This window comes from Homo sapiens, chromosome 16 (genome assembly GCF_000001405.40).
Source record: "Homo sapiens chromosome 16, GRCh38.p14 Primary Assembly".
NCBI classification, from domain to species: Eukaryota; Metazoa; Chordata; class Mammalia; order Primates; family Hominidae; genus Homo; species Homo sapiens.
Genome location: NC_000016.10, coordinates 1,876,878 through 1,899,603, shown reverse-complemented (window position 1 = coordinate 1,899,603; position 22,726 = coordinate 1,876,878). Strand labels below are relative to the sequence as shown.

At 48.3% G+C, this 22,726-nt stretch overlaps 2 long non-coding RNA genes across 2 annotated transcripts, besides 1 other annotated feature; one reads left to right on the top strand and one right to left on the bottom strand.

Annotated features, from left to right (window-relative positions):
- Positions 3,105 to 3,606: an enhancer, noted in NCBI's record as "H3K4me1 hESC enhancer chr16:1945999-1946500 (GRCh37/hg19 assembly coordinates)". NCBI's record gives its function as "activates a minimal SCP1, AML or CMV promoter by ChIP-STARR-seq in naive H9 embryonic stem cells {active_cell/tissue: H9 hESC(naive)}" and the evidence as "EXISTENCE:reporter gene assay evidence [ECO:0000049][PMID:30033119]".
- LINC02124 (long intergenic non-protein coding RNA 2124) lies at positions 9,170 to 10,490 on the bottom strand. Its single transcript, NR_146568.1, has 2 exons — positions 10,309 to 10,490; positions 9,170 to 9,471 (listed from the first exon to the last, which is right to left on the bottom strand). It is a non-coding gene; the product is annotated as a long intergenic non-protein coding RNA 2124 (long non-coding RNA).
- Positions 10,491 to 15,372: 4,882 nt separating this feature from the next.
- On the top strand, positions 15,373 to 21,319 carry LINC00254 (long intergenic non-protein coding RNA 254). The gene is made up of 3 exons (NR_033914.1): positions 15,373 to 15,507; positions 16,308 to 16,408; positions 20,894 to 21,319. It is a non-coding gene; the product is annotated as a long intergenic non-protein coding RNA 254 (long non-coding RNA).
- Positions 21,320 to 22,726: the final 1,407 nt, after the last annotated feature.

The following is a 22,726-nucleotide window of genomic DNA, read 5'->3' as shown; positions in this document are numbered from 1 at the left end:
GGCCAGGCTGGTCTTGAACTCCTGACCTCAAGTGATCCACCTGCCTCGGTCTCATAAAGTGCTGGGATTACAGGAATGAGCCACCATGCACGGCCTTTTTTTTTTTTTTTTTTGAGATTGAGTCCCACGCTATTGCCCAGGCTGGAGTGCAGTGGTGCAATCTTGGCTCACTGCAACCTTCACCTCCCAGGTTCAAGAGATTTTCCTGCCTCAGACTTCCGAGTAGCTGGGATTATAGGCGTGCGCCACCACGCCGGCTAATTTTTGTATTTTTAGTGGAGACGGGGTTTCACCATGTTGGTTGGACAGGCTGGTCTTGAACTCCTGACCTCAAGTGATCCGCCCGCCTCAGCCTCGTAAAGTGCTGGGATTACAGGCGTGAGCCACCACGCCTGGCCTTGCCTGGCCTCTTTCTTGGAAGTTACACTGCACCGGAATGCGATTCACTGGGGAGAGAACGTTTCATCCACCCTGGCTGGGACCAGTGCTGGGAGGGGTTCTGGGTTCTGGGGCTGGTCCCTCCAGTTCTGATCCTGGCCACCGACCGGCAACTGGTCAGTTTGTGCCCTGGACGGGTGGGCAGAAAAATCAATGGTTTTGCTCTGCTGATGAAAGTGGTCCGGACAACTCCTGTGCCGGAGACCAATAAAGCCCCATGGACACAATTATTTACTATAAAGACGTAGTATCGATTGAGCAGTTATGAGGATGAAGTGCAGGAAGGCACTGACATCAGGTGGCCTGCTTTCTCCAGAAGGTGATGGGAAAGCCTAGCTGTTTTTCTTTCTCTTTTGTAAACATTTTAAAACCTTTTTCTGGCCAGGCGCAGAGGCTCATGCCTGTAATCCCAGCACTTTGGGAAGCCAAGGCAGGCGGATCACCCGAGGTCGGAACTTCAAGACCAGCCTGACCAACATGGGAAACCCATCTCTACTAAAAATGCAAAAATTAGCCGGGCGTGGTGGCTCGCGCCTGTAATCCCAGCTACTCAGGAGGCTGAGGCAGGAGAATCGCTTGAACCTGGGAGGCGGAGGTTGCAGTGAGCTGAGATCGCGCCACTGCACTCCAGCCTGCGCAACAGAGTGAGACTGCGTCTCAAAACAAAATCAAAAAACCTTTTTCTTATGCAGTGCAGTTGACCTGTGACCAACACAGGTTTGAAGTGCCTGGGTCCACTTAGACATAGCGTTGTTTCTTTTCTTTCTTTCTTTTTTTTTTTTTTTTGAGACAGAGTCTCGCTCTGTCACGTAGGCTGGAGTGTAGTAGCACAATCTCGGCTCACTGCAACCTCCAACTCCCAGATTCAAGTGATTCTCCCCGTTCAGCCTCCCGAGTAGCTGAGATTACAGGCACCCACCACCATGCCCAGCTAATTTTTGTATTTTTAGTAGAGATGGGTTTCGCCATGTTGGCCGGGCTGGTCTCGAACTCCTGACCTCGGATGATCTGCCTGCTGTGGCCTCCAAAGTGCTGGGATTACAGGCGTGAGTCACTGTGCCCAGTCACACTTTTTCTTTTCTTTTCTTCTTCTTCTTTTTTTTTTTTTTTGAGACAAGCTCTCCTTGTGCCCCAGGCTAGAGTGCAGTGGTGCAATCTCAGCTCACTGCAGCCTCGACTTCCCTGGGCTCAGGCAATCCTCCCACCTCAGCCTCCCAAGTAGCTGGGACTATAGGCACCTGCCACTACACCCAGCTCACTTTTGTATTTTTTGTGGTGACAGGGTCTTGCTACATTGTCCAGGCTGGTCCTGAACTCCTGGCTTCAAGCAATCTTCCTGCCTTGGCTTCCCAAAGTGTTGGGATTATAGGCATGAGCAACTGTGCCCAGCCTCAAAGAAGATCAATGTCTTTTTTGTTTGTTTTTGTTTTGAGACACAGTCTTGCTGTGTCACCCAGGCTGGAGTGCAGTGGCGCAGTCTCGGCTCACTGCAACTTCCGCCTCCCGGGTTCAAGGAATTCTCCTGCCTCAGCCTCCTGAGTAGCTGAAATTACAGGCATGCGCCACCACGCCCAGCTAATTTTTGTATTTTTAGTAGAGACAGGGTTTTGCCTTGTTGGCCAAGCTGGTCTCGAACTCCTGGCCTCAGGTGATCCGCCCACCTCAGCCTCCCAAAGTGCTGGGATTACAGGTGTGAGCCACCGCCCCCGGCCAGATCACTGTTTCTGTTTTGATACTTTGGTATCAGGTGCACATCGTGTTTCTCCTTGAACTTGAGCCCACGATCTTAGCATTCATTGGTGGATTGAGTGGTTGAATTCTGGAAGTTCTCGGAATGGCCTTGTTTTCCTCGTCTGCAGAATGAAACTCCAGCTGCCAGAGGGCTTCAGGCAGAGTCATCCTATGGAACATCATGGTTTAAGGGACCCAGGAAAACTGTCACTATGTGGCTACCTCAAGGTGGTACAATTAAGCGAGCGGCTCCAATAAGTCACCCATCCAGACATTCCTGGAGGAGAAGTGACCTTTGGGCTCCTCTCTGTCTTAGGTTCGGGTCACAAATGTGACTTTAGGCTTAGATCGAAAGGCACCCTCGTCTTCAAGCCCACAACGCTGCCATCGGCATGTCACTTTCGTCAAGAGGAATATGTGCAATTAATAAAGGAGACAGGGCTGGCGGGAGCCAATTATAACAAACACATCAGATGCCAATAGCGCTGCACAAACACGCTTTCCCATTGATTCCTGACAATCATTGTTGGCATCTGTGCCTCTCGGGGCCTGTTTTCTGCCCCTTCAGAGACCTTGGTAAAATGTCAGTTCCTGCGCCTTTCCCGAGCGTGCACACTTTCACTGTGTTTGCTCTGCGATACACCTGGGTCGTGTGTACAGAGAAGCAAGGGGGTGCTTTCTGCCGCTAATTTTGCTTTGTTTGACTCTTCTCTGGTGCACAATGTAAGATTTAAAAGCCGTGTAGGCCAGGTGCAGCGGCGCACGCCTGTCATCCCAGCCGCTCAGGAGGCTGAGGCCGGAGAATCGCTTGAACCTGCGAGGAGGAGGGTGCAGTGAACCGAGATCGTGCCACTGCACTCACAGCCTGGGGGACAGAGCGGGACTGCCACCGCCACGCACCCAGCCTGGGGGACAGAGCGGGACTGCCACCGCCACGCACCCAGCCTGGGGGACAGAGCGGGACTGCCACTAGCACACCCTCAGTGATGGTTCCCTCACTCCAGAACTTTCCAAGGGGGCCCATTGATCCCATGACGGAACAGACTGAGTGAACCCAGCTTCTGAACGTGCCTCCGACAACCCGGGCTCTGCCCACCAGGCACAGGCAGCACCAGTTTGTTCTCTGCCCCACGGCAGCGACCCCCTGTCTGTGTGTTTCCTCCCTGGATCCCCTTGCGGGGCCTGACCCAAGCTTGTGCTCAGTGCAGCTTTGTTGAGTCACAGCAGGTGCTTGGGGAGAGCTCCTGGCACAGAAACACGGGTGAGCCCCAAGCCCTGCCAGCTTCTGGAACCTCTGGAATGTTCTCCAACAGAACAAACAGCTCTGCACCTGATGTTGAGTCTGATATCACTCAGCTGTGTTCCAGGTCAGTTGCACATCTGGGTCCACAATGCCTTCCGGGTCGGGGGCATTACCTGTGGGGCCAGGACAGGCCAGACACAGGCCCCACGGGAGGGAAACCATTGAGAGCAGGTCGGGCTGAACATGTGGGTGTGGATTCTTCCCTTGCAAATGTCAAAGGGAACTCTTAACAGCGGTTATTCCAGGGACTAGGACACTTGCATGTGTCTTAATCTAATTAGAGCAAATGGCAGATGTTCTTCCAGGCGGCTTTCAGGGGAGGGGCCAGAACATTTTTCTTTTCTTTCTTTCTTTTTTTCTTTTTTTTTGAGATGGAGTTTTTGCTCTGTCGCACAGGCTGGAGTGCAGTGGTGCGATCTCGGCTCACTGCAACCTCCACCTCCTGGGTTCAAGCGATTCTCCTGCCTCAGCCTCCTGAGTAGCTGGGATCATAGATGCCACCACCACACCCAGCTAATTTTTGTATTTTTAGTAGAGATGGGGTTTCACCATGTTGGCCAGGCTGGTCTCGAACTCTTGACCTCAGGTGAGCCACCCACCTCAGCCTCCCAAAGTGCTGGGCTTACAGGTGTGAGCCACTGCGGATTGTCCAGAACATTTTTCGAATTAGTTGATGGAATGAGTTGATGTTCCTGGGACGGGTGTGGAGGGAGAGCTGTGCCCCTCCCTTCCGTGGACTGGAGAGGCTCACGGTAGAGCAGGCCTAGAACCCAGCTAGGCCACTGTGGTAGCAGGCCACCACCAGAGTCTACTCACTGCATTGGGAGTTCCCTTTCGCCAGGCTGGGCCCAGTCGTCTGCACCTGAACCAAAGCATGTTGCTGGCCAGAGCTCCTGGGCTAATTTCAGGACCATCAGAGTAAAGGGGCACTTCTGTCTTCAGCTCCCCTTGGACCTTGGCTCTTCTGCCTCCTTCCTACTGATAAAGGCCTACCTTTATGGCCTTTATAAAGATAGGAAATTACTTTTTTTTTTTTTTTTTTAAGATTGGCTCTTTCTGGCTGGGCACAGTGGCTCACGCCTGTAATCCCAGCGCTTTGGGAGGCCGAGGCAGGCGGACCACGAGGTCAGGAGATCGAGACCATCCTGGCTAACACAGTAAAACCCTGTCTCTACCAAAAATCCAAAAACAATTAGCTGGGCGTGGTGGGGGGTGCCTGTAGTCCCAGCTACTCAGGAGGCTGAGGCAGGAGAATGGCTTGAACCTGGGAGGCGGAGTTTGCAGTGAGCCAAGATTGTGCCACTGCACTCCAGCCTGGGTGACGGAGTGAGACTCCGTCTCAAAAAAAAAAAGACTGGCTCTTTCTCTGTTGCCCAGGCTGGAGTGCAGTGGAGCAAACACAGCTCACTGCAGCCACCACCTCCTGGGATCAAACAATCCTCCTGCCTCTGCCTCCCATGTAGCTGGGATCACAGCATGCACCATTGCACCCAGTTAATTTTTAAATTTTTTGTAGAGGTGAGGTCTCCCTACGTTGCCCAGGCTGGCCTTGAAACCCTGAGCTTAAGTGATCCTCCCACCCCGGCTTCCCAAAGTGCTGGGATTACAGGTGTGACCCACTGTGCCCAGCCCTAATTCCTTCCTTAAACAATTCCTTGTTTCAAGATCAACTGAGGGGTATGTAAGCAACAGAAATGCCTTTCTCACGCTCTGGAGGCCAGACACCCACACTCCAGGACAGGCAGGTCCGTGTCTGGTGAGGGCCCCCTCCTCGATGGCCATCTTTTCACTGTCCTCGCATGGCAGAAGGGGCAGATGAGGGCCTTGGGGCCTTTTTTTTTTTTTTTGAGACGGAGTCTTGCCTGTCACCCAAGCTTGAGTGCAGTGGCATGATCTCGACTCACTGCAACCTCCACCTCCCGGGTTCGAGCGATTCTCCTGCCTCAGCCTCCCGTGTAACTGGGACTACAGGCACGAGCCACCACACCTGGCTAATGGTTTGTATTTTTAGTAGAGATGGGGTTTCACCATATTAGACAGGATGGTCTCGATTTCCTGACCTCCTGATCCGCCTGCCTTGGCCTCCCAAAGTGCTGGGACTACAGGCATAAGCCACCACGCCCAGCCGCCTGCCTAATTTTTTATATTTTTGGTAGAGACAGAGTTTTGCCATGTTGGCCAGGCTGGTCTCAAACTCCTGACCTCAAGTGATCTGCCTGCCTTAGCCTCCCAAAGTGCTGGAATTACAGGTGTAAGCCACCACACTTGGCCTTTTTTTAAAAAAATTAAATTTTATTTTATTTTCTGAGACAGGGTCTTGCTCTGTCACCCAGTCTGGAGTGCAGTGGTGCAGTCTCGGCTCATTGCAGCCTCCACCTCCCAAGCTCAAGCAATTCTCCCACCTCAGCTTCCTGAGTAGCTGGGACAATAGGCGTGCACCACCACGCCTGGCTAATTTCTGTGTTTTTTGTAGAGATGGGAGTCTCACCATGTTGCCCAGGCTGGTCTTGAACTCCTGGGCTCCAAGTGATCCACCTGCCTCAGCCTCCCAAAGTGCTGGGATTATAGGCATGAGCCGCGGCACCTGACTGTGATGAACTGCTACAGTGAATTTTACCAACTGGTTTGGAGACATCAGATGCCGTCGATACTTTGTAAATGTTGTGCATGAGAGACACCTGTGACCTACTTCTCACACCGGTGCTGGGTCCCACTCCTAGAAATTCTGGTTCTATTGGTCTGGGGTGTGACAGTGGGTGGTTTAAAGCTCCCAGGTGATTCTAATTTGTAGCCAAGGCCAAGAACCTCTGCCCTGGAGCCTGCTCCTCAAAGTCTGCTCCCGAGAGTCCTCGCAGGGCAGAGAGCAGGCAGTCAAGGAAGGTTTCCTGGAGGAGGAGTGAAGAGGTGGCAGAGAGCATTCCAAGCAGAGGGCAGGGCTTAAGAGAAGGCACAGAACAAAAAGCACCACCAAGGGGCTCAAGAGAAGACACAGAACAAAAAGCAGCATCAAGGGGCAGGAAAGAACAAGCTTGATGTTTCTGAATGTCATAGCTGGGATACTGTGTGTGCAAATTGGAGAAGACCCAGCCTAAACAGGCTTGTGTGCAAAGGGAGTTTACTGGTGTCAGCATCAGCCCCATCTGGGAGCTGGTTTGAAAGGCAGGACCTCAGGCTCCTCCCAGGCCCCTTGAATCGGAATCCGCATTTTAACAAGATTCCTGGGTCTGCTCACTCATGTTTGAGAAGCATGGCTTTAGAAGATGAGAAATGGAAGCTAAAATTTAAGCATGTCTTTTTCATTTTCTTTTTTTGAGACAGAGTCTCGCTCTGTTGCCCAGGCTGGGGTGCAGTGGCACGATCTTGGCTCACTGCAACCTCCACCTCCCGGGTTCAATTGATTCTCCTGCCTCAGCCTCCCGAATAGCTGGGATTACAGGCACTCGTCACCACGCAGGCTAATTTTTGTATTTTTAGTAGAGATGGGGTTTTGCCATGTTGGCCAGGCTGGTCTCAAACTCCTGGCCTCAGGTGATCTGCCCACCTCGGCCTCCCAAAGTGCTGGGATTACAGATGTGAGCCACTGCACCCAGCTATTCTGTCTTTTTCCACAAGCCAGCACAGCCCATACTGTATCTGCACATCACATCTCCCAGGCTTTCTCGTCTTTGCATACAAGTCCCAGGAATGCTACTTGATGCTCGATGATGGGGCAACCCAAATTTTCCCTGCTTTACCCTCTGATCAGTAAGACCATGTCTTTTTTTTTTTTTTTTTTGAGATGGAGTCTCGCTCTGTCGCCCAGACTGGAGTGCAGTGGCACAATCTCGGCTCACTGCAACCTCTGCCTCCTGGGTTCAAGTGATTCTCCTGCCTCAGCCTCCCGAGTAGCTGGGACTACAGGCATGTGCCACCACATCTGGCTAATTTTTTGTATTTTTAATAGAGACGGGGTTGCACCGTGTTAGCCAGGATGGTCTCGATCTCCTGACCTCCTGATCTGCCCATCTCAGCCTCCCAAAGTGCTGGGATGACAGGCGTGAGCCACCGTGCCCGGCCGAGACCATGTCTTATTCATCTTTGTACATCAGCATAGTGTGTTGCAAGAATCCTGGAATGAGTTGGGTATAAAATCAGTACAGTACCCTAAAACTTAAAGCATGATAAAATAAAATAAAATAAATAATAATAATAATGAAAAAAAAGAAAACACTGATAACAACAACAACATCAACAACAAATCAGTGGCCGGGCGCAGTGGCTCACGCCTGTAATCCCAGCCCTTTGGGAAGCCGAGGGAGGCGGATCACAAGGTCAGGAATTCGAGACCAGCCTGGTCAATATGGTGAAACCCCATCTGTACTAAAAATACAAAAATTAGCCGGCTGTGGTAGCGGGTGCCTGTAATCCTAGCTACTGGTGAGGCTGAGGCAGGAGAATCGCTTGATCCCAGAAGGCGGAAGTTGCATTGAGCTGAGATCGCGCCACTGCACTCCAGCCTGGGAGACAGAGTGAGACTCCATCTAAAAAAAAAAAAAAAAGTCAGTTTGCAATTGATCATGTGGAATTCGAAATCATGGGCTCAAACGATTCTCTCACTTCACCCTCCCAAGTAGCTGGGACTACAAGTGTGCACCACCATGCCTGGCTAAAGTTTAACTTTTTTTAAGAGATGAGGGCTTGCTATGTTGCCCAGGTTGGTCTCAAACTCCTGGGCTCAAGTGATCCTCTTGTCTTGGCTTCCCAAGGTGCTGGGATTATAGGTGTGAGCCACCATACCCAGTGTAATTCTTATTTTTTTATTTTTTAGACCGAGTCTTGCTCTGTTGCCTAGGCTTGAGTGCAATGGCGTGATCTTGGCTCACTGCAATCTCTGCCTCCTGGGTTCAAGCGATTCTCCTGCCTCAGCCTCTTGAGTAACTGGGATTACAGGTGTGCACCACCACGCCTGGCTAATTTTATATTTTAGTAGAGACGGGGTTTCACCATGTTGGCCAGGCTAGTCTTGAACTCCTGACCTCAGGTGATCTGCCCGCCTCAGCCTCCCAAAGTGCTGGGATTACAGGCATGAGCCACTGCACCCAGCCTCCTGATTCTTTTTTTAAGGGACGATTAGTAAAAATAAATGTCAGCAACTTGGGAGCAGTGCTAAGCCAAGCCCTGTGTTTGCTCTACTTCCTAACCCCCAACCAAATGTAACTAAGCCACTGGGGACCTCCACCGTGTGGATACTCCCCTCCCTTCCAATTGTGAGCTCCTCAAAGATGAGGGCAATGCCGGCTCCAAAAAGCACATGACGCATGAATGAATTTGTGAGTGGGTGCAGACAACCTGTCTACACAGGTGTCAGCTTTCCTACTAGTGAAGCAAGCTCCAACAAAAGATTTTTTTTAAGGCAAAGAAAAAAGAAAAAAGAGAAAAAAGTCTCCCATAGGTTGCTTGCCTCATGTGTCCACAGAAGATAATGGATTGCGTTGAAATCCAGGAGCCTTTTCTCTGAAACCTAAGGTCTGTGAGCAGCAGAAAGCGGATGGTCGGAAGATCTGATAAAAGAGTCTAATATTCAAAACAGCCTGGTTAAATGTGCACAGCCTCGAATGCAGACGTGAGCCACATGCTCTCAGGATGCACTGACATTGTTTCGTTATCGAGATGAAGCACTAATGTTTTAGAAGAGTGATGGTGGAAGACAGCTGAAGATTTCCTGTCATTTGAGTGTTTATTTATAATCCCTCCCAGTCTCAGTCCTTGTTCCTAAAAGCGTCCGCATCAAGATGATGATTAAACACAAATACCTCATCAGGTGTCCCCTAAATCCTGGGGTACAGATGGGCAATCTGCAGGTACCTTCCCCCCTGCACAGAGGGAGCATCGAAGCTGCAACCCAGGCTGGACCAAAGGAGGACACGCCAAGCGTTCTCCTTGGGGATCCCCTGATAGGGAGGAACAAGATCCGTCCATAACTGAGTTGAGCTTTTCCTCAGGAATTCAGCTCCATCCACCTGTAACAAAAAACCCAATTTAGGGCTGTGTGCAGTGGCTCACACCTGTAATCCCAGCACTTTCGGAGGCCGAGGTGGGTGGATCACTTGAGGTGAGGAGATCGAGACCAGCCTGGCCAACATAGTGAAGCCCCTGTCTCTACTAAAAATATAAAACTTAGCCGGGTGTGATGGCGCATGCCTGTAGTCTCAGCTACTCAGGTGGCTGAGGCAGGAGGATTGCTTGAGCTTGTGGGGTTGAGGCTGCAGTGAGCCAAGATCGCGCCACTGCACTCCAGCCTGGGTGACAAAGTGAGACTCCGTCTCAAAAAAAAAAAAAAAAAAGGAAAGAAAAACAATCAAGCTATTTAGAGGAAATAATACACACGTTATTTATAAAAGTCTGAAACCAGGCTGGGCGTGGTGGCTCATGCCTGTAATCCCAGCACTTTGGGAGGTTGAGGCCGGAGGATAGCTTGAGCTCAATGGTTCAAGACCAACCTGGGCAACATGGCAAAATCCTTTCTTTGCAAAAAATACAAAAATTAGCCAGGTGTGGTGGTGTGTGCCTGTAGTCCCCGCTACTTGAGAGGCTGAGATGGGAGGATGGCTTGAGCCCAGGAGGCAGAGGTTGCAGTGAGCCGAGATCACACCAGTGCACTCCAGCCTGGGCAACAGAGCCAGACCCTGACTCAAAAAAAAAAAAAAAAAAAAAGAAAGAAACAAAAAGTCTGAAACCAAATTGCAACTTGTGCATCTTATGCAAATTGTACAGACGTCGTACGCTACTGATTACACTGAGTGGCTTTATGCACTCACTGTAGGGTTACCCTTAGGAATTTCTGATTCGAAACCCACCGAGGCAGCTCTGATTTCGCTGAGAACTCCATCGCTCTTCTCCACCTTCTCCACCGTGGCTCGGCAGTTGGCCCATCCGTACCTGGCTGCTCAATGGCTTGACTTTGACACAATAAACGGGAACTCGTTCACAATGAAGCCATCTCACGCCAAATCTATGTGTTCTACAGTGATTCCAATGCTAGTCGGGGAATAAAAGTTTAACACAGACTTTACAAAACAGGAGATTGCCAGAAACAATATTTAGGTGTTTCCTTTACCATGAATTCATGTTGGAAGGTTCTGGATGCCTAGGAAAATATAATTCGACATAACTTAATTTTTTTGTTTGTTTTTGAGATGGAGTCTTGCTCTGTCACCCAGGCTGGAGTGCAATGGTGCAATCTCAGCTTACTGCAACCTCCGCCTCCCAGGTTCAAGCGATTTTCTGCCTTAGCCTCCTGAGTAGCTGGGATTACAGGCACGCGCCACCACACCTGGTTAATTTTGGTATTTTTAGTAGAGACGGGGTTTCACCATGTTGGTCAGGCTGGTCTCGAACTCCCGACCTCAGGTGATCCACCCACCTCAGCCTCCCAAAGTGCTGGGATTACAGGCGTGAGCCACCACGCTGGACCTCGCACGTCCTTCTTCTAAAGCATCAGCCGTTGGCGGCAGAGCCCGCTCGAATCCAGCACGTCCTCTTCTTCACTAATTACAGCCAGTCCTCACTATAGGCTTTTGGAAACTGCAACTTTAAGGAAAACGACATGTAACAAAAACTATTTTTTTTCCTTGTTAACATTATAATGAAACAACAAACAACCTAATCTGAAGACCTGTTTTACTTTGTTTTGCTTAAAGTCAGTTTCCAAAGATCCACTGATGATGTTAAATGAAAACTTCACATCTTATTTTGTAGAGATGGGGTCTCGCTATGTTGCCTAGGTTGGTCTCAAACTCCTGGGCTTAAGTGTTCTCCCCCACCTCGGCCTTCCAAAGTGCTAGGATTATAGGCGTGAGCCACCTTGCCCGGCCCTTTTTAATTTTTAGTTAATTAATTATTATTTTTTATTTTTAGAGACAGGGTCTCGCTCTATCACTCAGGCTGGAGTGTAGTGATGCAATCATGGGTCACTGCAGCCTGGAACTCCTATGCTCAAGCAATCTTCCCGCCTCAGCCTCCCAAGTAGCTGGAACTACAGGGCGCCACCACAGCTGGCTCAGGAAAGGGCGTTCTAAGGAGGAGACATTTAAGCTGAAACCTTGTGAGTGAGAAGCAGCCAGGCATGTGAAGAGGGTTCCAGCAATACAGAACATGCTGCCCAAAGGCCCCGGGCCGGGAAAGAACTTGAATTGTTGCCAGCACTGGAAGAAATCCAGAATGCTGGGCTTGCTGAGCTTTGGTGAGGAAGTCACAGAGGCAGGGCGTCCCAGGCCTTGCTGGGGGAGGTCCTGAGCCCAGGTTGTCGGATAAAATGTAGGGCTCCCAGTTAAATTTTTTTTTTTTTGAGACAGAGTCTTACTCTGTCACCCAGGCTGGAGTGCAGTGGCGAGATCTTGGCTCACTACAACCACTGCATCCCAGGTTCAAGCGATTCTCCCGCCTCAGCCTCCCAAGCAGCTGGGATTACAGGCACCCACCACCACGCCTGGCTATTTTTTTGTATTTTTATAGAGATAGGGTTTTGTCATGTTGATCAGGCTGGTCTTGAACTCCTGACCTCAGATGATCTGCCCGCCTCGGCTTCCCAAAGTGCTGGGATTACAGGCGTGAGCCACCACACCCGGACAACTCAAAATTTTAAAAACATTAAATGGTACTTTACATGTAGAGAAGTTGAATAAAACGTAGTTATTCCCCCATGATGTTCTTTTAGAAGTTTTTTTTTTTCTTTTGAGACAGGGTCTCACTCTGTCACCCAGGCTGGAAAGCAGTGGTGCCATCTTGGCTCACTGCACTCCAGCCAGCCTAGGCAACAAGAGCAAGACTCCATCTCAAAACAAAACAAAACACAAAAAACAAAAAACAGCACCCCTGCATAGGACAGCTTCATCTGACAGCACCACCGTCTTCTACGTGGACTGAAAAAAATTTAATTACAAACTGGGCGGGGTGGCTCACGCCTGTAATCCCAGCACTTTAAAGGCCAAGGCCGGGTGGATCACCTGAGGTCGGGAGTTTGAGACCAGCCTGAACAACATGGTGAAACCCTGTCTTTACTAAAAATACAAAAATTAGCCGGGCGTGGTGGCGGGTGCCTGTAATCCCAGCTACTTGGGAGACTGAGGCAGGAGAATCGCCTGAACTGGGATTACAGGCACACACCACCAGGCCCAGTTAATTTTTGTATTTTTAGTGGAGACAGGATCTCACCATGTTGGCCAGGCTGGTCTCGAACTCCTATACGATCCCACACCAGCATTCCTCAAAACCGTCCAGGTCACCAGAAACACTGTCACAGCCCAGAGGAGCCCAGTGAGACATGGTGACCAAAGGCGATGTGGGGGCCTGGAGCAGAAAAGAAAATTAGGGGAAGAGTAAGCAAACCTGAATCAACTACCGACTTTGGTTAGTACTAATGTAGCAATATGGGTTTATTCATTGTAATAAATGTACCATACTAATATATTTTTTTTTTATTTTATTTATTTATTTATTTTTGAGACTGAGCCTTGCTCTGTCGCCCAGGCTGGAGTGCAGTGGCTCGATCTCGGTTCACTGCAACCTCTGCCTCCTGGGTTCAAGTGATTCTCCTGCCTCAGCCTCTGGAGTAGCTGGGATTACAGGTGCATGCCACCATACCGAGCTAATTTTTGTATTTTTACTAGAGATAGGGTTTCACCATGTTGGTCAGGATAGTCGAACTCCTGACCTCAGGTGATCCCCCCGCCTCAGCCTCCCAAAGTGGTGGGACGACAGGCGTGAGCCACTGTGCCTGGCCCACACTAATATGTTAATAATAGGGGAAACTGGGCATAGGGCATATAGAAACTCCCTGAACTAGCTTCTCAATTTTTCTATAAATCTAAAACTCTTCTAAAAAATAACATCTATTTTTAAAATTCTATTAGACAATTCTCATATCAACTTTCTGTAAAGGACTGACAAAGATTCTTCTATACTACATTTTTACTTTTTTTTTTTTTTTTTTTTTGAGACGGAGTTTTGCTCTTGTTGCCCAGTGGAGTGCAATGGCACGATCTCGGCTCACCACAACCTCTGCCTCCTGGGTTCAAGCAATTCTCCTGCCTCAGCCTCCGGGTAGCTGGGATTACAGGTGTGAGCACCATGCACCACAACTCCTGGCTAATATTGTATTTTTAGTAGAGACGGGGTTTCTCCATGTTGGCCAGGCTGGTCTCAAACTCCTGATCTCAGGTGATCCACCCGGCTCAGCCTCCCAAAGTGCTGCGATGACAGGCACGAGCCGCCACCGTGCCCAGCCCTTTTTTTTTTTTTTTTTTTTTGAGACAAGGTCTCGCTCTGTCACCCAGGCTGGAGTGCAGCGGCACAATCACAGCTCACTGCAGCCTCAACTTCCCTGGGCTCAGGTGATTGTCCCACCTCAGGCTCCCAAGTAGCTGGGACTACAGGTGAGCCACCACCCCTGGCTATTTTTTGTAGAGATGGGATTTCACCATGTTGCCCAGGCTAGTCTCAAACTCCTGAGCTCAAGCAATCCATCCGCTTCCACCTCCCAAAGTGCTGGGATTACAGGTGTGAACCACTGTGTCTGGCCCATTTTTACATTTTCAAAAAATGTATTGAATATTATACACATAGAAGTGCCCAAGCCATCAGTGTACAACTCAATGAATTTTCACAAAGGTGACCATTTACCATTGCTCAGACCAAGGAACAGAAGGTAACCAGCACCCCAGAACCCCCCTCACTCCCCTTCCTCTGCCTACCCCTCCTCAGCAAGAGTAACCACGACTGGACCTTGTAAAGCTATGTATTTGTTCTGCTTATTTTTAAATCTTATGTAAATGAATCATAGATGATCTCACACTGCATTTTAATAGACACCACCATTCTCTTTCTCCTCTCTAGGGCTTTCAGCACTTCTCAAATCTTACAAGTTGTGAGAAAATGTATCATTCTTTTACACTCAACTGTGTCAAACATCCTAAATAAAGTTCCCAAACCCAGGAAAGCCAGGGACTGTCTGCGATTTGCTGTTCCCAAACCCATGAAACCCAGGGACCGTCTATGATTTGCTGTGGCTTCACCTGTATGGGTCCAGGTTGCTCACGCCCACCTGTTCACCCTTATGAGAACCCATCACATTAAGAAGATGGAAAACAGGCCGGGTGCAGTGGCTCATGCCTGTAATCCTAGCACTTTGAAAAGCTCAGGCCAGGATCACTTGAGACCAGGAGTTCAAGACCAGCATGGCCAACATGGCGAAATTCCATCTCTACTGAAAAAACAAAAATTAGCCGGGCGTGGTAGCACATGGCTGGAATCCCAGCTACTCGGGAGGCTGAGGCAGGAAAATCGCTTGAACCCGGGAGGCAGAAGTTGCAGTGAGCAGAGATCGTGCCATTGCAATCCAGCCTGGGCCACAAGCGCGAAACTCTGTCTCAAAATAAATAATAAAAGTTTATCATATTTTATTATTTAGTCATAGCTTATTTAGACGATACTTGTATTGATTTGCCCACAGAGTCACTCTGGGTTGAGACAGAAAGCAGTCAGAAGCAATTCGTGCTCTCTGTTGGCATTAGCGCTAAGAATAAAATAAGTCAATACAGTCGCTTCCACAGTATGACAAAAGGTTCCGTCTTGATCAGTCATTTTCTGACCCAAGGTCACAGCTCTTGCAAAATTTTACTGTAGCTCGACAAACTCTCCATATCAACTCCACATTACAAGATCTTTCGTTTCTTCAATTAAACAACTGGAAATGGATACCATCCATGCTCTCAGATTTATGATGTCAATAAAGCCCATTATGATCACACCCTGCTGTTGAAAAATGGGATGGCAGGGAACTGACAGGCTGTTTTTAGGTCACCGTCTTACACAATACCAACCGCCCATCAGGTTGTTTCAAAGGCTTTCAGCCACTGACTAATAGAAAAAGAGACTGCATACAACGTTTCATTCATGTTTTGCTAGGCTAGATACATTTGTTGTAGCGGTCTCATATTTGTAAGTCCGTGGAAAAACCTGAAAGTATTTTTTTCTTGAAAATTTTTTTGAAAAAAAAGGTATTCTTTGTACAATAACTATAGAGAAAAGATGTTAAAATGTCACAACAGTGATTCCATATAAATTCAGTTTCTTTTTTTTTTTTTTTTTTGAGACAGGATCTCATTGTGTTGCCCAGGCTGGAGTGCAGTGGCGCAATTTCAGCTAACTGTAGCCTCGACCTCCTGGGCTCAAGCGATCCTCCTACCTCAGCCTCCTGAGTAGCTGGGACTACAGACAAGCTCCATCACACCAGGCTAATTTTTGCATTTTTTTTATAGAGACGGGGTCTCACTCTGTTGCCCAGGTGGAACTCAAGCTCCTGGGCTCAACTGATCCTCCCTCCTTGGCTTTCCAAAGTGCTGGGATTACAGGCATGAGCCGCCGCATTCAGCCCAAATTCACCTTGTTTTTCTTTTTTCTTGAGATGGAGTTTTGCTCTTGTTGCCCAGGCTGGAGTGCAATGGCTTGATCTTGGCTCACTGTAACCTCCACCTCCCGGGTTCAAGCGATTCTCCTGCCTCACCCTCCTGAGTAGCTGGGATTACAGGCATGCGCCGCCATGCCCAGCTAATTTTTTGTATTTTTAGTAGAGATGGGGTTTCACCATGTTGGCCAGGCTGATCTCCAACTCCTGATCTCAGGTGATCCACCCACCTCGGTCTCCCAAAGTGCTGGGATTACAGGTGTGAGCCACTGCAGCTGGCTCAAATTCACTTTTAAAGTATTATTTTATGATGGGAAATACTGATAGAGGGTACATGTTGCATTTATAAGTTTTAATATAATTTTTCATTTATTAACTCATTGGACAACCCAGTAAAATGTCATTAGGAGTGAGAATCAGGAATGATGGATTCACGGTCTAGTTGCAAGACTCATCACAGGCCATTAACCTCTGAAAAGCCTTTATCTGCTTCGGTGAGTGCTTCCAGAGTTTGCAACACGAATATATGTCCACGAATATAAGTTTGATATGATAGTGAGAGTCTGCCTATTCAGAAGAAAAAGTTGCCCAGCTGGATTTAGTTTATCTTCGTCTCAGTGTTCTTTATTTTAATTTTAAAATATTTGAGTATTAAAGATTGAATTCTATTTGGGATGATGGAAACATTCTGGAAATAGACAATGATGATGGTGATACAACCTTATTAATGTACATAGTGGCACTGACTTACGCCCTTAAAAATGGTTTAGGCCAGTCGGGCGCGGTGGCTCACGCCTGTCATCCCAGCACTTTGGGAGACCGAGGCGGGTGGATCACCTGAGGTCAGGAGGTCGAGACCAGGCTGGCCAACATGGTAAAATCCCGTCTATACTAAAAATACAAAAAATTAGCCGGGCGTGGTGGTATGTACCTGTAATCCCAGCTACTCGGGAGGTTGAGGCAGGAGAATCGCTTGAACCCCGGAGGTGGAGGTTGCAGTGAGCCGAGATCGCGCCACTGTACTCCAGCCTGGGTGACAGAGTGAGATTCCATCTCAAAAAAAAAAAAAAAAAAGTTTCAGTGGTACATTTTGTTATGCTTTTTTTTTTTTTTTTGGTAGCGACAGGGTCTCACTAATGTTTCCCAGGCTGGTCTCAAACTCCTGGGCTCAAGCATGTTAGCATATTTTATCACAATTTAAAAATAAAGGCCAGGTGGCTGGGCATGGTGGCTCACGCCTGTAATCCCAGCACTTTGGGAGGCTGAGGCGGGTAGATCACCTGAGGTCAGGAGTTCAAGACCAGCCTGGCCAAGATGGTGAAACCCTATCTCTACTAAAAATACAAAAAAATTAGCTGGGCGTGGTGGCGGGCACCTGTAATCCCAGCTACTCAGGAGGCTGAGGCAGGAGAATTGCTTGAACCTAGGAGGCAGAGGTTGCAGTGAGCCAAGATCATGCCATTGCACTCCAGCCTGGGCGACAGAGCGAGACTCGGTCTCAAAAAAAAAAAAAAAGAAAAGGAAAGAAAGAAATTATCTCTGATCCTTAGATAGTTTGTGAATCAGTGGCCGCTTTCGCTCCCCGTGGGGTTCGTTTTAGTGTTCTATTTCTCCCCCACATCACTACCTTCTCCCAACAGCCACTGCACCTGCCTCACAGTTGCAAGATAAAATACAGGATGCCGAGGCCAGGTGGAGTGGCTCACGCCTATAATCCCAGAGCTTTGGGAGGCTGATGTGGGAGGATCGCTTGAGCCAGGAGTTTGAGACCAGCCTGGGCAACGTAGCAATGCCTTATCTCTACTAAAAATAACAATAGTAGGCCACTGCAGTGGCTCACACCTGAAATCCCAGCACTTTGGGAGGCCAAGGCAGGCAGATTGCTTGAGCCCAGGAGTTTGAGACTAGCCCAGGCAACATGACAAAACCCTGTCTGTACAAAAAAATACAAAAATTAGCCGGGTACAGCCAGGCACAGCCGGGCGCAGTGGCTCACACCTGTGATCCCAGCATGCTGGGAGGCCGAGGCGGGCAGATCACCTGAGGTCAGGAGTTTGAGAATGACCTGATCAACATGACGAAACCCCCTTTCTACTAAAAATACACACACACAAAAATAATAACTGAGTGTGTTGGTGCATGCCTGTCGTCCCAGCTACTTGGGAGGCTGAGGCACGAGAATCGCTTGAACTCAGGCTGCAGAGGTTGCAGTGAGCAGAGATCACGCCACTGCACTCCACCCTGGGTGACAAAGCGAGACTCCATCTCAATTAAAAAAACTTAGCCGGGCATGGTGGTGCATGCCTGTAATTTCAGCTACTCGGGAGGCCAAGGTCGGAGGATCACCTGAGCCCAGGAGTTCAAGGCTACAATGAGCCATGTTCGTGCCACTGCACTCCAGCCTGGACAACAGAATGAGACCCTGTCTCAAAATAAAAAGACATTTTAAAAAAGGAAATGATTTAAGGGACCTAGCAGAGACTATAATTACCTTTTCTCTTGTTTAATTAATAAAGAGATGTCTAGAACATTTTACTGTGGCTAATATTCCCAGAGAGAATCACTTCTTTATTTGCTGATAACACAAATACAGGGTCCCAATAGCATCCAGTAATTCACAAAGTAATTTTTTCAAGATTAGCACCATGTTCCCACGGGAGCTCACGTTGCTGTCATCCACACTGCACACTTTGCAGGCAAGAATTTTATTCACCTGTTTATTCTGCCTCTTAGAAAATATATTTTAATTATTTAGGAAACGTTACCAAGTAAAATTTTAACCTCAAAGGTTGATCAAAGTCACATTACAAAGTTGTATTTGCCTCATGTGCTGGTGAAATACTTTGACACTTGTCTACACTTCAAACGAGAATTTACAAAGTGAAATGAGAGGACTCGTAATTTAATTTTTTTTTTTTTGAGGCGGAATCTCACTCTGTCGCCCAGGCTGGAGTGCAATGACCTGATCTTGGCTCACTGCAACCTCTGCCTCCCGGGTTCAAGCGATTCTCCTGCCTCAGCCTCCTGAGTAGCTGGGACTACTATATACTGAGGAAGCTTTTCTGGTTTTTTAAGAAAAAAGTGGCTGGGCGTGGTGGCTCACGCCTGTAATCCCAGCACTTTGAGAGGCCAAGGCAGGCGGATCACGAGGTCAAGAGATCGAGACCATTCTGGCCAACATGGTGAAACCCTGTCTGTACTAAAAATACAAAAATTAGCTGGGTGTGGTGACCCATGCCTGTAATCCCAGCTACTCGGGAGGCTGAGGTAGGAGAATGATGTGAACCCGGGAGGCGGAGGTTGCAGTGAGCCGAGATCTCGCCATTGCATTCCAGCCTGGCGAGAGAGCGAGACTCCGTCTCAAAAAAAAAAAAAAAAAAAAAAAAGAAAGAAACAATTGAGATGCCTCCTGAAAAAAAGAAAAAGGTGGAGAAAAATAAATTTTTTTTTTTTTTTGAGACAGGATGTTGCTGTGTGGCCCAGGCTGGAGTGCAGTGCTGCGATCACGGCTCGCTGCAACCTTGAACTGCTGGGCTCTGGGGATCCTCCCACTGCAGCCTCCCAAAGTGCTGGGATTACAGGCACACACACCACACCCAGCTAATTTTTTGATTTTGTGGAGATGGTGTTTTGCCATGTTGCCAAGGCTGGTCTCGAACTCCTGGGATCAAGCAATCTTCCCGCCTTGGCCTCTCACAGTGCTGGGATTACAGCGCTGGCATGCCTGGCGAAAATGTGATGTTAAAAGTGTTAGAAACCAATACAAGGGAAAGAATTTCCCACTTTGTGAGCTGTGGGTGTCCCTTGAGTGGAACTAGGACACCTATAGAACGCTGCTGTGGCCATGAGCCCTCTGGGGCCATTTGCATGTGAGCCCCAAGAAGGAAGGTGGTGGGAGGAATGGACACACCGAGGAAGCTGGTCTATTAACAGTGACTATTCTCTGCTTCTTTTGTTTTTTTTTCCCTACTTAATTGAAGGAAAATATGAACTGAAAGAGGGGAATGAATGGTAAAGCCAGTTCAGCAGGTACAGTCTTATGCAACCCATGTTAGTAACAGTTATCCACAGAATGTAGCCTTTCATATTTTCCCATCCATTATTTCAGAGTATGCTAACTTTGACCTTTATGAGCTTTTTAAGGGAGTTATGTTTATCTACATTTTACACATTGTTTTAAGGTTCTAGGGAAGTAACTTCTAAGATCTTACAGCAAATTATTATTATTATTATTATTTTATTTATATTTATTTTTTTGAGATGGAGTTTTGCTCTTGTGGCCCAGGCTGGAGTGCAATGGTGTGATCTCAGCTCATTGCAACCTGCGCCTCCCAGGTTCAAGCGATTCTCCTGCCTCAGCCTCCTTAGTAACTGAGATTACAGACGTGGGCCACCACGCCCGGCTAATTTTGTATTTTTAGTAGAGATGGGGTTTCACCATGTTGGTCAGGCTGGTCTCGAACTCCTGACCTCAGGTGATCTGCTCACCTTGGCCCCCCAAAGTGCTGCGATTACAGGCTCGAGCCACTGCGCCTGGCCAAATTATTATTACTGTTATTTTTTCAGACAGGGTGTTGCTCTGTCACCCAGGCTGGAGTTCAGTGGTGCGATCACAGCTCACTGCAGCCTCAACCTCCCCAGCTCAAGTGATCTTCCCACCTCAGCCTCCAGAGTAGCTGGGACTACATGCGTGCACCACCACGTCTGGCTAATTTTTTTTTTTTTTTTTTGTAGAGATGGGGTCTCACTGGGTTGCCCAGGTTGGTCTCGAAGTCCTGGGCTCAAGTCTCGGCCTCCCAAAGTACTGGGATTATAGACATGAGCCACCACACCCAGCTGATCATACAGCAAATTAAATTAAGGGCTAAAACTAGCAGCAAGCGCTATGGTACCAATCTGCCAGTCTCCCTGTCATAGCATGCAGCAACCTAGATATGCCCTATCAAGTGAATTTAATGCCTTCTCCCCTTTTTTTGCAGCTTTGTTACATATCAGACGCGGATATTACTTACGAGTATTGAATGATCCCCTCAGTAAACACCAGCTATGCAGGAGGTGCTACCTTAGCAATAGGAGCTTCAGTCTGGGAGGAGAGTGGGACATATAAGCAAATAAATACATCACGTTTCCCACAGGGCGCGTATTTTGTGTTCATCTTCGTCCCACTGGATCTGTCCAAACTTTTCATTTTTGACAGATAAGGAAAATGAAGTTCAGATGCTTGAGTGACACAGCTAATTAGTGGCAAGGCTGAGACTTTTGACCAGACAGCCTGACTTTTAGTTTCTACCATGCATGTTAACTCCTCCTAAACCCCATTTATTTTCTCATTTCAGACAACTGCGCAATAACACTGCTAAGATAAAAGCACTCTGATTAATAAACACTGAAATTAAGCAGGTTAAGAAATATCTATTGTCCTTTTCTCAGAGTGATAATTTTAAAAACTGAAATTGGTCTTTTGCACTCGCAGTTTTCTCTTGCTTCCTTAAACATTTGCGAAATATGAGAACAATATAAATAGGTTCTCAAGCTCTGAGCAAACCCTTAACCATGTAAATAAGCCCCATAAAGAACAAAGCCTGGCCGGGTGCGGTGGCTCACGCCTATAACACCAGCACTTTGGGAGGCAGAGGTGGGAGGATCGCTTCAGCCCAGGAGTTCGAGACCAGCCTGGGGAACCTAGGGAGATCCTGTCTCTACAAAAAATACAGTAAATTAGCTGGGTGTGGTGGGGGCACGCCCGTAGTCCCAGCTACTCGGGAGGCTGACGTGGGAGGATCACTTGAACCTGGGAGTTTCAGGTCGCAGTGAGCTGTGATTACATCACTGGACTCCAGCCTGGGTGACAGAGCAAGACCCTGTCTCAAAACACAAATAAATAAATACATACATAAATACATAAAATAAAATAAATAAAAGTAGAGTAGAGTTGGTTCATTGCAACAGATACTGTCTGGCCCACAAAGCCCTTTACATATAGCAACTTACAGAAGAATTTGTGCCCCTGTGATAGATAGCATTGGAGGTTTCCGCCTAGGGAAAGCTGTGGTGCAGCCCTGAGAAGCGTCATGTGGTAAGATTCATCCCTCTGAGGGCATGAGATGGGCTGGGGCAGGGGAGATGAGAGCCCCTGCAGCGTGCTGCTCCATCCCCTGACAACACTGCCAGAGCCGCAGGAGGGTGGCAGCAACAGACGTGGAGAGACAAGGGCAGGTGCTAAGGAAAAACAGAACCTGGCTCCTGATGATGACAGTGGAGGAGAAGGGAGGATTCAAGGCTGCCTTTGAGACGCTGAGCTTCAGTTACCAGGTGTTTTCCATAGAATTGGAAGGTTCTGAGCTGGCTTGGGGTGAGCCTAGGAGCTGAACTTTAGATACTTGGCAATGCTGCAGACGGCTGGCAAGGTGGGGCTGGAACAGCTCGGTCAGAGATGTTGTTAATGGCCACATAGCTGGCAAAGGTACGCTGCAATGATTTAGGAGGGTTTAAAAAATTATATGTGTTTATGGCTGAACGCGGTGGCTTATGCCTGTAATCCCAGCACTTTGGGAGGCTGAGGAGGGCAGATTATTTGAGATCAGGAGTTCAAGAGCAGCCTGGCCAACGTGGTGAAACCCTGTCTCTGCTGAAAATACAAAAATTAGCTGGGTGTGGTGGCGCGCACCTGTAATCCCAGCTACTTGGAAGGCCAAGACAGGAGAATCGCTGGAACCCGGGAGGTGGAGGTTGCAGTGAGTCAGGATTGTGCCACTGCACTCCAGCCTTTGTGACAGAGCGAGACTCTATCTCAAAAAAAAAAAAAAAAATAT